We start from the raw sequence: 14,366 nt of genomic DNA on the forward strand, positions 1-14,366 counted from the left end.
AGTAACTGCCATTTTAAGGTATTTTACAATATTGCCACTGAAGATCTGGAGCTGTGTTGTGTTGTTGTAAGGCTTAAATGGGAAATATCTCTTGGCATTTGTCCTCAGGGTTAAATGAAACTAAGCTGAAGGTAAAATTTAATTCACAAGTATTTTAATAATAAGTCACATCATCTGTTATATTGAAACCAAGTGACAAAAGCTCTATTATACTCTGTTAGTTTTTAATTTTTTAAGCTAGTTTAAATCAAACATATTTAAGAGTTATGTTCTGCTTTGAACTGTAAATATTTTTCTAAGTAATCATCTTAAACCTTACAAACATATATCTATAAATCATTTCCAGAAGTGTTCCGACTGACAATAAACCAATACAAATACAAAATATTTAAAACAAGAACAAGTCAATGTCTATTTCATTGACTAGTGCAGTTTCACAGAAATATTTCTATTTTTTAGTATATTTTCACCAATCTGAAATGTCATATTACTATATAAAGACCAAAACAGACCTTCAAAACATGGCACTAATATTCTTTTTTGTATCTACAATAAAAGGCTTAGAGCCAGTGCAAGAAGGCTGCCTTTTGCAACCTGATCTTAAGACTTTTCTGGTAATTTCTTAAAGGCATTAACAATTTATATAAAATGAAAAGATACTATCTAAAGATACAAGTACTACTATTTTATGTTTCCTAAATGCCAATGGTAGCATTTAAGGGTCGCTAAGGCCCATCAGTGAACTAGAAAACTGTTTTCTCTTCTGTCTACATAAACTGATGCATTTTCCCCTTTATCATACTCTTTCCCCAAAGCACAATGTATCCATCAACACTGGCATTAAATTGCTCTTATTAATAGCAATAAATGGTATACTATAATGGGTACATTCAGCAAATACAATGCATACATCTATAGGCCAACTGTCAGTATGTCATTTTATTTTTTAAATAGTTCTACTGATGTTAAATTATATATAATAAAATTCACTTAAGTGCATAGTTCTATGAGTTTTGATAAGTGTATACAGTTGTATAATTAGCCCCACAATCAAGATATAGAACATTTCTAACACTCCAAAGAGTTCTCCTTACCCTCTGGCAACTGATCTGTTTTCTATTCAAATACTTTTATCTTTTCTAGAATTTCATAAAAATAAAGCCATACAATGAGTGGTCCTTTGCATCCACCATCTTTTGTTGACATACTGCTTCCAAGATTTATCATGCTGTGTGTAGCAGCAGCTCATTCCTTCTTAGAGAAGTAGTATTCCATTGTATAAATATATCACAATAAGTTTATTCAGTAATTAATATGCATTCAGCTGTTTCTAGATTTTGGCTATTATGAACAAAGTTCCAATGAACATGTAAATATAAGCATTTGTGTGGACTCGTGTTTACACTTTTTTGGATAAATCTCGCAGAGTGGGGCTGTTGGGTCTTGGTGAGTTTATGTTTAACTTTGTAAGAAACTGCCAAACTGCATTCTTGCTGCAATGTGTAAGTTCTAGGTGCCCCACATTTATATATATATTTATATATACGTGTGCAGAACGTGCAGGTTTGTTACATAGGTATACACGTGCCATGGTGGTTTGCTGCACCCATTAACCCGTCATCTAGGTTTTAAGCCCCTCATGTATTAGGTATTTCTCCTAATGCTCTCCCCCTCCCTTTGCCCCCTACCCTGATGGGCCCCAGTGTGTGATGTTCCCCTCCCTGTGTCAATATGTTCTCACTGTTCAACTCCCACTTATGAGTGAGAACATGCAGTGTTTGGTTTTCTGTTCTTGTATTAGTTTGCCGAGAATGATGGTTTCCAGCTTCATCCATGTCCCTGCAAAGGACATGAACTCATTCTTTTTTTACAGCTGCATGGTATTCCATGGCGTATATATGCCACATTTTCTTTATCCAGTCTCTCATTGTCAGGCATTTGGGTTGATTCCAAGTCTTTGCTATTGTAAATAGTGCTGCAATAAACATACATGTGCGTGTGTCTTTACAGTAGAATGATTTATAATCCTATGGGTATATACCCAGTAAAGGGATTGCTGGGTCATATGGTATTTCTGGTTCTAGATCCTTGAGGAATCGGCACATTGTCTTCCACAATGGTTGAACTAATTTACACTCCCACCAACAGTGTAAAAGTGTACCTATTTCTCTGCATCCTTGCCAGTATCTGTTGTTTCCAGACTTTTTAATGATCTCCATTCTAACTGGTGTGAGATAGTTACCTCATTGTGGTTTTGATTTGCATTTCTCTAATGATCAATGACAATAAACTTTTTTTCATATGTTTGTTGGCCGTGTAAATGTCTTTTGTTTGTTTTGAGATGGAGTCTTGCTCTTGTCACCCAGGCTGGAGGGCAGTAGGGTGATCTTGGCTCACTACAACCTCTGCCTCCCAGGTTCAAGCGATTTTCCTGCCTCAGCCTCCACAGTAGCTGGGATTATATATGCACTCTACCACACCTGGCTAATTCTTGTACTTTTAGTAGAGACATGGTTTCACCATATTAGTCAGGCTGGTCCTGAACTCCTGACCTCGTGATCCGCCCTCTGTGGCCCCCCAAAGTGCTGGGATTACAGGCGTGAGCCACCACGCCCGGCCACAAACGTCTTCTTTTGAGAAGTGTCTGTTCACATCCTTCACCCACTTTTTGATGGGGTTGTTTTTTTCTCGTAAATTTAAGTACCTTGTAGACTCTGGATATTAGACCTTTAGATGGATAGGTTGCAAAATTTTTCTCCCATTCCGTGAGTTGCCTGTTCACTCTGATGAGAATTTCTTCTGCTGTACAGAAGCTCTTTAGTTTAATTAGATCCTATTTCTCAATTCTGGCTTTTGTTGCAATTGCTTTTGGTGGTTTAGTCATGAAGTCTTTGCCCATGACTATGTCCTGAGTGGTATTGCCTAGGTTCTCTTCTAGGGTTTTTATGGTTTTAGGTCTTATGTTTAAGTCTAATCCATCTTGAATTAATTTTCACCTAAAGTGTAAGGAAGGGGTCCAGTTTCAGTTTTCTGCATATGGCTAGCCAAGTTTCCCAACAACATTTATTAAATACGGAATCCTTTCCCCATTGATTGTTTTTGTCAGGTTTGTCAAAGATCAGATGGTTGTAGGTGTGTGGTGTTATTTCTGAGGCCTCTGTTCTGTTCCATTGGTCTATATATCTGTTTTGGTACCACTATACCATGCTGTTTTGGTTACTCTAGCCTTGTAGTATAATTTGAAGTCAGGTAGCATGATGCCTCCAACTTTGTTCTTTTTGCTTAGGATTCTCTAGAGTACACGGGCTCTATTTTGGTTCCATATGAAATTGTTTTTTCTAGATCTGTGAAAAAAGTCAATGGTAGCTTGATAGGAATAGCACTGAATCTAAAAATTACTTTGGGCAGTATGGCCATTTTCATGATATTGATTCTTCCTATCCATAAGCATAGAATGTTTATCCATTTGTGTCCTCTCTTACTTCCTTGAGCAGTGGTTTGTAGTTTTTTTTTTTTTTTTTTTGAGACAGAGTTTCCCTCCTGTTGCCCAAGCTGGAGTGCAATGGTATGGTCTCAGGTCACTGCAACCTCCGCCTCCTGGGCTCAACTGATTCTCCTGCCTCAGCCTCCTGAGTAGCTGGGATTATAGCCATGTGCCACCACGCCCAGCTAATTTTTGTATTTTTAATAGAGACAGGGTTTCACCATGCTAGCCAGGCGGGTCTCGAACTCCTGAACTTGAGTGATCTGCCCGCTTCGGCCTCCCAAAGTGCTGGGATTACAGGCATGAGCCACCGCACCTGGCCTTGAAATATTTTTTTATTGTTGTGTCTCTGCCAGGTTTTGGTATCAGGATGAGGCTGGCCTCATAAAATGAGTTAGGGAGGAGTCCCTCTTTTTGTATTCTTTGGAATATTTTCAGAAGGAATGGCACTAGCTCCTCTTCATACCTCTGGCAGAATTCGGCTGTGAATCCATCTAGTCCTGGGCTTTTTTTGGTTGGTAGGCCATTAATTATTGCCTCAATTTCAGAAATTGTTATTGGTCTATTTAGGGATTTGACTTCTTCCTGGTTTAGTCCTGGGAAGGTGTATGTGTCCAGGAATTTATCCATTTCTTCTAGAGTTTCTAGTTTATTTGTGGAGAGGTGTTTACAGCATTCTCTGATGGTAGTTTGCATTTCTGTGGGATCGGTGGTGATATCCCCTTTATCATTTTTTATTGTGTCTATTTGAGTCTTCTCTCTTTTCTTATTAGTCTGGCTAGTGGTCTATTTTGTTAACCTTTTCAAAAACCAGCTCCTGGATTCACTGATTTTTTTGAAGTGTTTTTTTTCTGTCTTTATCTCCTTCAGTTCTGCTTTGTTATTTCCTGTCTTCTACTAGTTTTTGAATCTGTTTGCTCTTGCTTCTCTAGTTCTTTTAACTGTGATGTAAGGGTGTCAATTTTAGATCTTTTCCACTTTCTGATGTGGGCATTTAGTGCTATAAATTTCCCTCTAAACACTGCTTTAGCTGTGTTGTGATTCTGGTACGTTGTGTCTTTGTTCTCATTGGTTTCAAATAACTTATTTCTGCCTTAATTTCATTATTTACCCAGTAGTCATTCAGGAGCAAGTTGTTCACTTTCCATGTATTGTGCGGTTTTGAGTGAGTTTCTTAATCCTGAGTTCTAATTTGATTGCACTGCGGTCTGAGAGACTGTTATGATTTCCGTTCTTTTACATTTGCTGAGGAGTGTTTTACTTCCAATTATGTGGTTTATTTTAGAATAAGTGCTATGTGGTACTGAAAATAACGTATATTATGTTGATTTGGGGTAGAGAGTTCTACAGATGTCTATTAGGTCCACTTGGTCCAGAGCTGAGTTCAAGTCCTGAATATCCTTGTTAATTTTCTGTCTCATTAATCTAACATTGAAAGTAGGGTGTTCAAAGTCTCTCACTATTATTGTGTGGGAGTCTAAGCCTCTTTGAAGGTCTCTAAAAACTTGCTTTATGAATCTGGGTGCTCCTGTATTGGTGAATATATATTTAGGATAGTTAGCTTTTCTTGCTGCATTGATCCCTTTACCATTATGTAATGCCTTTGTCTTTTTTGATTGCTTTTGGTTTAAAGTCTGTTTTATCAGAAACTAGGATTGCAACCCCTGCTTTTTTGCTTTCCATTTGCTTGGTAAATATTCCTCCATCCCTTTATTTTGAACCTATATGTGTCTTTGCATGTGAGATGGGTCTCCTGAATCCAGCACACCAATGGGTCTTGACTCTTTATCCAATTTGCTAGTCTGTGTCTTTTAATTGGTGCATTTAGCCCATTTACATTTAAGGTTAATATGGTTACATGTGAATTTGATCATGTCATCATGATGCTAGCTGGTTATTTTGCCCATTAGATGCAGTTTCTTCATAGTGTTGTTGGTCTTTGTATTTTGGTATGTTTTTGCAGTGGCTGGTACCAGTCTTTCCTTTCCATATTTAGTGCTTCCTTCAGGAGCTATTGTAATACAGGCCTGGTAGTGACAAAATCCCTCAGCATTTGCTCATCTGGAAAGGATTTCCTTTCTCCTTCACTTATGAAGCTTAGTTTGGCTGGATATGAAATTCTGGGTTGAAAATTCTTTTCTTCAAGAATGTTGAATATTGGCCCCCACTCTCTTCTGGATTGTATGGTTTCTACACAGGGATCTGCTGTTAGTCTGATGGGCTTCCCTTTGTGGGTAACCCGACCTTTCTCTCTGGCTGCCCTTAACATTTTTTCCTTCATTTCAACTTTGGAGAATCTGAAGATTATGTGTCTTGGGGTTGCTCTTCTCAAGGAGCATCTTCGCGGCGTTCTCTGTATTTCCTGAATTTGAATGTTGGCCAGTCTTGCTAGGTTGGGGAAGTTCTCCTGCACAATATCCTGAAGTGTGTTTTAACTTGACTCCATTCTCCCGTCACTTTCAGATACACCAATCAATCCTAGGTTTGGTCTTTTCACATAGTCCTACATTTCTTGGAGGCTTTGTTCATTCTTTTTCATTCTCATTTCTCTAATCTTGTCTTCACATTTTATTTAAGTTGATCTTCAATCTCTGATATCCTTTCTTCTGCTTGATTGATTCAGTTATTGATACTCGTTCTTCAAGAAGATTTATGTTCTTCTCTAAACTGGTTATTCTAGTTAGCAGTTCCTGTAACCTTTTATCAATGTTCTTAGCTTCCTTGCATTGGGTTAGACCATGCTCCTTCAGCTCAAAGGAGTTTGTTATTACCCACCTTATGAAGCCTACTTCTGTCAATTCGTCAAACTCATTTCCGTCCAGTTTTGTGCCCTTGCTGGAGAGGAGTTGTAATCATTTGGAGGAGAAGAGGCATTATGGTTTTTGGAATTTTCAGCATTGTTGCACTGGCTTTTCCTCATCTTCGTGTGTTTATCTACCTTTGAGCTTTGATGCTGATGGCCTCTGAATGGGGTTTTTGTGTGGGTGTCCTTTTTGTTGACATGAGGTGCTTGCTGAAGACAAAGGGAATACAGAATGGGTAGTAGGAGGAGGTAGTCATCAATACTAGCTACAACCATGTGATCAGCTGCAGAAATGGAGACTGTGATTGTCATAAATATTTCCTCCATCTTTTGCTAAAAACATGTTTGTGCATGCATATACTTGTACTAAGAAAATATCTTTATTTCCTTTTCCTTTATCATGTGACATAAGATTTACTGACTTCATATTGGCATTTAAGTACTGCTAACTTTATGTAATGGTATTTGGGTTGGGAACTGGTGCATTTCTGGTCGTACAAAGGGTAGTTGCATTATGTTAGGCATAATTATGACCTTATTATTGTCTTTATTTGAAGACTCAGGAGATGTGTATGGGTTCAAGTTGACAAGGGGTGGACTTGTGATGGTGAATACTGAGTGTCAACTTGACTGGACTGAAGGATACAAAGTATTGATCCTGGATGTGTCTGTGAGGGTGTTGCCAAAAGAGATTAACATTTGAGTCAGTGGGCTGGGCAAGGCAGATCCACCCTTAATCTGGTGGGCACAAACTAATCAGCTGCCAGAGAATATAAAGCAGGCAGAAAACCGTGTAAAGGAGAGACTGGCCTAGCCTCCCAGCCTGTATCTTTCTCCCATGCTGGATGCTTCCTGCCCTTGAACATCAGACCCCAAGTTCTTCAGTTTTGATACTCAGACTGGTCCTCATTGCTCCTCAAGCTTGTAGACAGCCTACTGTGGGACCTTGTGATTGTGCAGGTTAATACTTAATAAACTCCCCTTTATATACATATCTCCTATTAGTTCTTTCCCTCTAGAGAACCCTGATACACCAACTTAAAGTCGGATTCCTTGAATTATAAAATGACTATTGATGTAAACATTCCTGGAAGTTGTTAATATTAACAATCTACTTTTGTGAGTTAGGCAAATAAATGGCTGGTCTACCTGCTCTAATTTATGCCCATCCTTGAAAGTTAACAAAATTTTAATACTGTATAAGATCCCATGGGAGAAATTAACTTTGGATTTCCCCCTTAAGAATACAGTAAAAGGCCGGGTGTGGTGGCTCACACCTGTAATCCCAGCACTTTGGGAAGCTGAGGTGGGTGAATCACTTGAGCCTAGGAGGTCGAGACCAGTCTGGCCAACATGGTGAAACCTTGTCTCTACAAAAAAATACAAAAAATTAGCCACCCGTGGTGGCACACGCCCGTAGTCCCAGCTACTCAGGAGGCTGAGGTGTGAGGATTGCTTGAGCCTGGGAGGCTGAGGCTGCAGTGAGTTGTGATTGCACCACTGTCCTCCAGCCTGGGGAACAGGGCAAGATTCTGTCTCAAAAAAACGAAAACAAAAAAAATACAGTGACAATGGAGGAAATGTTTTCACCTTTACAGGTAAGACTATCAAAATTTTTTCTCAATATGTTTCCTGACAACTGAAATGCTATGATTACATCTATAAATAGAAAACATTATGGAATCATGATGTGGAGCCTAATATATATATATATATACACACACACACACATATATATACGAAAAATGCTATCAGATGAAGACAAGCTAAAACACCTTTTAAGTATAAGGAAACATACCTTTTCTTTCCTTTGTCTAGAAGTCTGAAATACTCCAAGTCTCATAATCATACTAGAGGTCCACGAATGTCAATACCTGGTATGTACACATTTATACAAAAATGGCTCTTCTGCTGTTAACAGTTATGTGTCAAAAAGATCAAAGTGTACCTAACACAGAAACACTACATAAGACTCAGCTATGGCAAGAGATAGAGTCTCTTGCTTGTTTAAAAAAGATCACTTTTTAATTAAACCTCCTGTTTAGAAAGACCATATTAAGTAGAATTTATAGATCAATGTCCCAATTGCAATGTATCATAAGGTGACTAATCTCCAGTGACCCAGCCCTTCTAATTAAAATGTCCCTAAAACCTTCCTCCATAGGACAAGGAGGACTATTTGGAAATGAAGCATGCTTACTAAAGTCCTCTGTTACATTCAAAGGACATAAAACTAGATTGGCTTTGCCCTCAACGACCAGCAGGTAGACACGGCACTTGGATTTAGGTCAGGGTTAGTGGAACTGATTTCTGAAGCTCACCTAAATTTGGGAAAAAAGAAAACACAATGCATGGGCTATGTCACCACCAATGGAGCACTAATACCCCCTTAGAGAGGCTTCCCTGTCACCGGACTTCACTATGTTCACTCAGGGCAGAAAGGATTCCAATATTACCTTCAATTGCTCTAGGGCAAAAGATGAACCATCTTGCTGTAAGTTTTCAATAATTTCTTCCACAGTATTGGCTGAAAAACAACTATAAAAAAAGGAAATGTGATTTCACCAATGTGTAAGTGATTTCCTGTTTCTAACATACGATGAATCTGAACATAGGCTTTCCCCCACCTCTGTTTCAATAATGAAAAATTGTCTAACCTCTTTAACAGGACGTGAAAAGAAAGAGAGCATTGCTTCCCTGGGTAAGCATTTGCCGTCTACCTTCACTAACATAAAATAAAATCTAAATTTTATTTTTTCTTTTGCATCTGTTATATTTCCATGTAAAGAAACAATTCAACAATGAAAAATCGATGCTTCTAAATTGTAGAGATGGTTGTCTTATTTTCTAATACTTTTCCTCCTCTTGTTTCCCAAAGCCAGTTTGTCAATCTCTCAAATCATCACACAAAACCTTTTTTGCTGATCGGCTTGATAAGACCTTCAGAGAAGATGAATTTAAAAAGGTAAAAGTTAATTCAATTATTATTTTCTAGCTTCTCTTCTCCACTTAAAAAAAAAAGATATTTTGCACTAATATAAATTCAAATCACTGCACAAAATCTTTTTGCTGTTCAGCTTGGTAAGATCTTCAGAAAAGATGAATTTACAAAAATAAAAGTTAATTATTATTTTCTAGCTGCTCTTCCCCACTTTAAAAAAAAAGGTATTTTGTACTAAGATGAATTCTCATGGTAGATTACTTAAATATAATGAATTTATTTCACCCAGAAAGAGAGGGAAAGAAGCTACTTTCAAAGGTAAGTGAAAAAAAAACCCTATGCTGGCCAGGCATCACGCCTGTAATCCCAGCACTTTGTGAGGGCGAGGAGGGTGAATCACCTTAGGTCAGGAGTTGGAGACCAGCCTGGCCAACATGGCGAAACCCTGTCTCTACTAAAAATACAAAAGTTCGACAGGCATGGTAGCAGGTGCCTGTAGTCCCAGCTACTCAGAAGGCTGAAGCATAAGAATTGCTTGAACCCAGGAGGCGGAGGCTGCAGTGAGCTGAGATTGCACCACTGCACTCCAGCCTGGGGGATAGAGCGAGACTCTGTCTCAAAAAAAAAAAAAAAAAAAGGAAGGAAAGCTCTATACTTTCTGATCTCAGAATTCAGTGCACTATCAAACACAATGTAATTAAAATGGTAATTATAATGTTAGCAAATTCATTTTAACATAGTCTTTCTAAAGGAATATATAACTGAGATCTCTTTTTAGGTACCTGTTTATTTTGTCCATGTGTTCCTCAAGTATAAAAGACTTGTCTCGATCAATCTTAGACTGTTTGAAAAGAAAAATCTTTTAATAAATTTGAACACAATTTTTTAATCCTTAAAAATTCATATTTAATGATACACTTTGTGAAAGATTGTCACTTGTCACTTTCAGTCAAATTACATCTAACTGTCTCATAAATAACTACCGCTGTATGATCAAAATTCAGACAGCATGTAGAACTCTAGACTAGCTCTTAAAAGTATCAACGGCAAAAATGTTCTAGTATTTTTATTTACATGTATAAATATATGTAACCACTATTACATTTGACACATTATCATTAAAATATATCTGTGAATATGTAAGGGACCTGAAAGGTCAACCTGCCCAAATTTCCATCCTAGCCAGAAATTCACACCATATACCTGGTATGCCTGCAGCTGTGACCTTCAGGGAGAGAAAGCACCTCTCAAGGAGGAGTTCACAAATGCTAGAACAACTGAATAATTAGGTTTCTGTTGTTGTTTTAATTCTGGAACAAAAACCAATGCTAGCATGTTTATAGTTCTAGTTAATCTCTTTCACCTTAACCACTTCCCACATGACACAGTTTTGTGTCCCCTCATGATCCAGGTCCTTCTCATGGACAAGTTCCAGTTTATCAAGGTCATTCTTCAAGTACGGGACACGTATCTTAGCTGCAGGTGTGGCTGGATGGTAGCAAAGTATAAGAGGGTTCTGCAGGCCCTTGATTGCTTTGGATATACTTTTCTTAATTGGACTAACTCTGAGTTAGTGTTGAGACAGGCCTATGATTGCAGCTGATTCACACTAAGCTCCAATTAAATAAGACTTTTTTTTTTTTTTAAACCTGTGCCATTGTAGGCTGTGTTTCTCCTATTCTGTACTTATGAATTTAGCACTTTGGGTTAAAACACAAGATTCGCACTTATCTTTATTAAATTTCACATTATTACTATTGAGCAGATCACTCTAAACTCTAAGGGTTGTTTTTTCATCCATATTCTTTTTCCTAATTTAACTTGTTTTTCTTAGTTCTAAATCAACTTGATCAAAACGCTATCAGTGGTCACCAAATCACTTGAGAAAAATGCTGAATAAGTCTAAGATGACTTCCCTACAAACTAACTCCTATACATTTAGTAGAACTCTTTGATAAGCCCCTTCAACCACCGCAAAGCATAATTCATCACATATTTACTCAATTCGACAACAGGAGACTATCAAATGCTCTGATAAAAACAAGTGAAATCCTCATGTGCTCTGTATTCATATTCTCTCCACCAAGTACTTGGTGGCCCTGCCAATCTGTACTCATGTTCTTCAGTTCTGGGTAATTTATTTGGTACTATTTCTCCAAATATTTCCTTCCCTCTATCTTCTTTACTATGAATTCCTAATGATTAGATTTTGGACCTCTTGGAATAATACCTCTAGTTTTCCATTCTCTCCCTTTTCTATTTAATTATCCTTTTCTGTTAGAGTTTTCCTCAACCACAGATTTTAATCTGTTCTGGGTTTTTTATTCCCAACTTTTGTTATCATCTTTAAAATTTTACAGGCATAACCACTACCAAGGTCAGCCAGTAGCCATCAACATCTAGGCAAGGCCCTCCAGCAGCAAAACAATTATGACTCACCGAAAGCTCAGATGATCATTAGTATTTTTAGCTAAATTATTTTATAACTATAAATTAATAAGATACGTACTTGTGCTTAGAAATGATGCTCCTGCACACTTAATAGACTACAGTATAGTGTAAAAGTTTTTATGAGCACTGGAAAACCAAAACATTCATGTGACTAGCTTTATTGCCATGGTGTGGAACCAAATTCAGATTCTCTGAGGCATGCCTATATTATTCTTTGAATTACCTTTATAACATCTGTTGTTGTTTAAGAGGTAAAATATTTTCCTCTTAAGTTAACAGTTATAGATTGGTATTTGTCTAAGTTTCCTTCTTCTTGCATTAACTGTTTCCTTCCAGTGCCTTTGTTGTTTGTTTTGGCCTAGGAATATTTGTTTTTCTATGCAAAGCACTAAAATTAGGAAGCTTTGCGTCTAATGTCAGTTGCAAGTTATGGGATTCTCAATTGTGTTACATTATAAGATGATCAGGCAAGATGTGTTATTAAGGGGTCCATGAATTTCAACGTCTATGGGTTTTTTTTTCTTCCAATGTATTGCTTAGGAGTGGGGTGGGATGCAGCGGTTCTGCAAGCCAACTAGGGAAAAGGGACAGAGGTCTTCCAACTTAGTATATCTCACCTCTCATCAGTACAGTACTTCATCAGTCTCTACTGTCAGCTAGACCTGCCTGATTTGGTTTCTCTAAGGAGTAAGTATCTACTCTTCTGCCAGGCTACTGGAAGATAGCTACTCTCAGTTGTACAAGAAGACTTGTGGAAGGGCCAGGTGCAGTGCTCATGGCTATAATCTCAGTACTTTGGGAAGCTGAGGAGGGTGGATCATTTGAGGTCACAAGTTCAAAACCAGCCTGGCCAACATGGTGAAACCCTGTCTCTACTAAAACACAAAAATTAGCTGGGCATGGTAGCACACGCCTGTAATCCCAGCTACTCGGGAGGCTGAGGCACGAGAATCGCTTGAACCTGGAAGGCAGAGGTTGCCGTGAGCCAAGATTGCGCCACCGCCCTCCAGCCTAGGTGACAGAGCGAGACTCTGCTTCAAAACAAAAAAAAAAAACAAAAAAAAAACTTATAATAAATCCTCCTGTTTTTCTGCCCCATTCTACACCCTAGTCTTCAGAGGGACCTAGTCCCTTTAGAAGGGTCTACAGCAACAATCAGCTGACTTCTTATTGGCTTTCAGAGTTCTTTGGTTTAAGTTAGCAGCACTCATCCTGCTGATTTCAAGCTTCCAAAATACTAACATCTCATGTCTGCCACTGTCTCCTCTTCCGTTCTACTTGTCTTTGTGGGTTTATGCCTTTTCTTATTCACTTATTACAATTTTGAATGGTGTTTTAGGAGGCAGCATGTATTCAATCATGTTTAACTAGAAGTTATGGAGTGTTTTTAAAGATTCTTGGCTCTTATAAGAAAATTCAAGTCAGACAACATAAGTAAGGAATTAAAAATACATGCTGCAATAAACTTTATTAAATATAAATAAATGTCAAGAGTTTGCATCTCCACAAATAGTGTTAACATTGAACACCGTTTACAGAAATGCCAAAACCCTTGCAAAGAATGATCACAAGGCTATGCACTGAAGTTAACCAGCAGTGGGAAGACAGCTATGCAGCTGCACAGGAAAGAAGTCATCTTATTAGCTGGCTATACTAACAACTGTGAAGCACTGATTCTTCTGCCACGCTTTAAAGTAAATAAATCCTTAGTACATTTATTTATATTTACAAACTATAATATTCACCAACTGCCAGTTTTTTAATCACTTCCCCTCCCCATGAATTAAAACCTGAGGTTAGAATATTAACAAGATTACCTCTGTATGGTAATTTTCTAAGACAGATGCAATATTTTCTTTTGAAGGAGATTTCAAGGCTAACAAATCTTCCTCTAACATGGCCAACTAAAGGGGAGGCAGAAAAAAAGGAAAGATCTTAGATCCAATAGAAACATAGAAAGCTTTATAAAAATCTCATCTTCTTTTTTAGAATTCTTGACTTTAAATTATGAAGCTGTCTCTTCAGGTGAATCACTGAAAGAAATTTTGACTTAAGTTGAATGAACAGGTATTCCCACACAGCAAATGTAGCCTTCAAAGGAATGGATAAAGATGGAAGAAATTAAGAAGGAGAAATAGAGACTTTTGTTTCTCAGCCTATTGAGTACTTGGAACCAAAGACCTACATATAAATTTTATTTTATTTTTAATTAATTTTAACCAAAATTGCCACAAATTATTAGTGGCTACCACAGACAATGCACAACACTATAATATAGCTTCACTTATTTATCCATCTAATCCCTCACTTAATCTACCCTACACTGAGCCAAACAGGACTTTTTACTGTTCCCAGAGCATAGCTAATGCTTTCTTGCCCCTGTGATTTCATTAAATGTTTCCTTTACCTGACAATACCTTTTCCTGATAATACTCACCTTAAGGCCGGCTGTACTGCAACCTTCATAAAAAAGCTTCTAGTCCTTTCTTACAGGTAAGCTCTTCCTCCTTTCAATTCTTTGAGTATTTTCTTTGTATTGTTTTTACACTTACCATACTTTACCTCTGCCAGATGAGAGAGATGGTTATTTATCTTTTGTACCCACTTCTAATCGCATCCCCAAAGTATATTCCTCTTTTTCATATCCTCTACAGCCCTGAGAATGTCTGTCTACTCATTGCAGATAC

The 14,366-nt window shown here is 37.7% G+C and overlaps 1 protein-coding gene across 6 annotated transcripts in view; it reads right to left on the reverse strand.

The window, feature by feature from the left end:
• HIBCH (3-hydroxyisobutyryl-CoA hydrolase) overlaps positions 1-14,366 on the reverse strand; it is a 130,092-nt gene that overhangs the window by 46,409 nt on the left and 69,317 nt on the right. For all 6 annotated transcript variants that reach the window (XR_922903.3, XM_047443905.1, NM_198047.3 and 3 more), the window contains 3 exons: positions 13,497-13,583; positions 10,011-10,069; positions 8,744-8,825 (listed from right to left, as the gene is read on the reverse strand). Coding sequence is in view for 5 of the 6 variants with exons in the window: in XM_047443905.1 (XP_047299861.1) it covers positions 8,744-8,825; positions 10,011-10,069; positions 13,497-13,583 (228 nt within the window). In the remaining variant the exon portion in view is untranslated. The remainder of the gene's footprint in view (positions 1-8,743; positions 8,826-10,010; positions 10,070-13,496; positions 13,584-14,366) is intronic.

This window comes from Homo sapiens, chromosome 2, assembly GCF_000001405.40.
Source record: "Homo sapiens chromosome 2, GRCh38.p14 Primary Assembly".
Taxonomy (NCBI): Eukaryota; Metazoa; Chordata; class Mammalia; order Primates; family Hominidae; genus Homo; species Homo sapiens.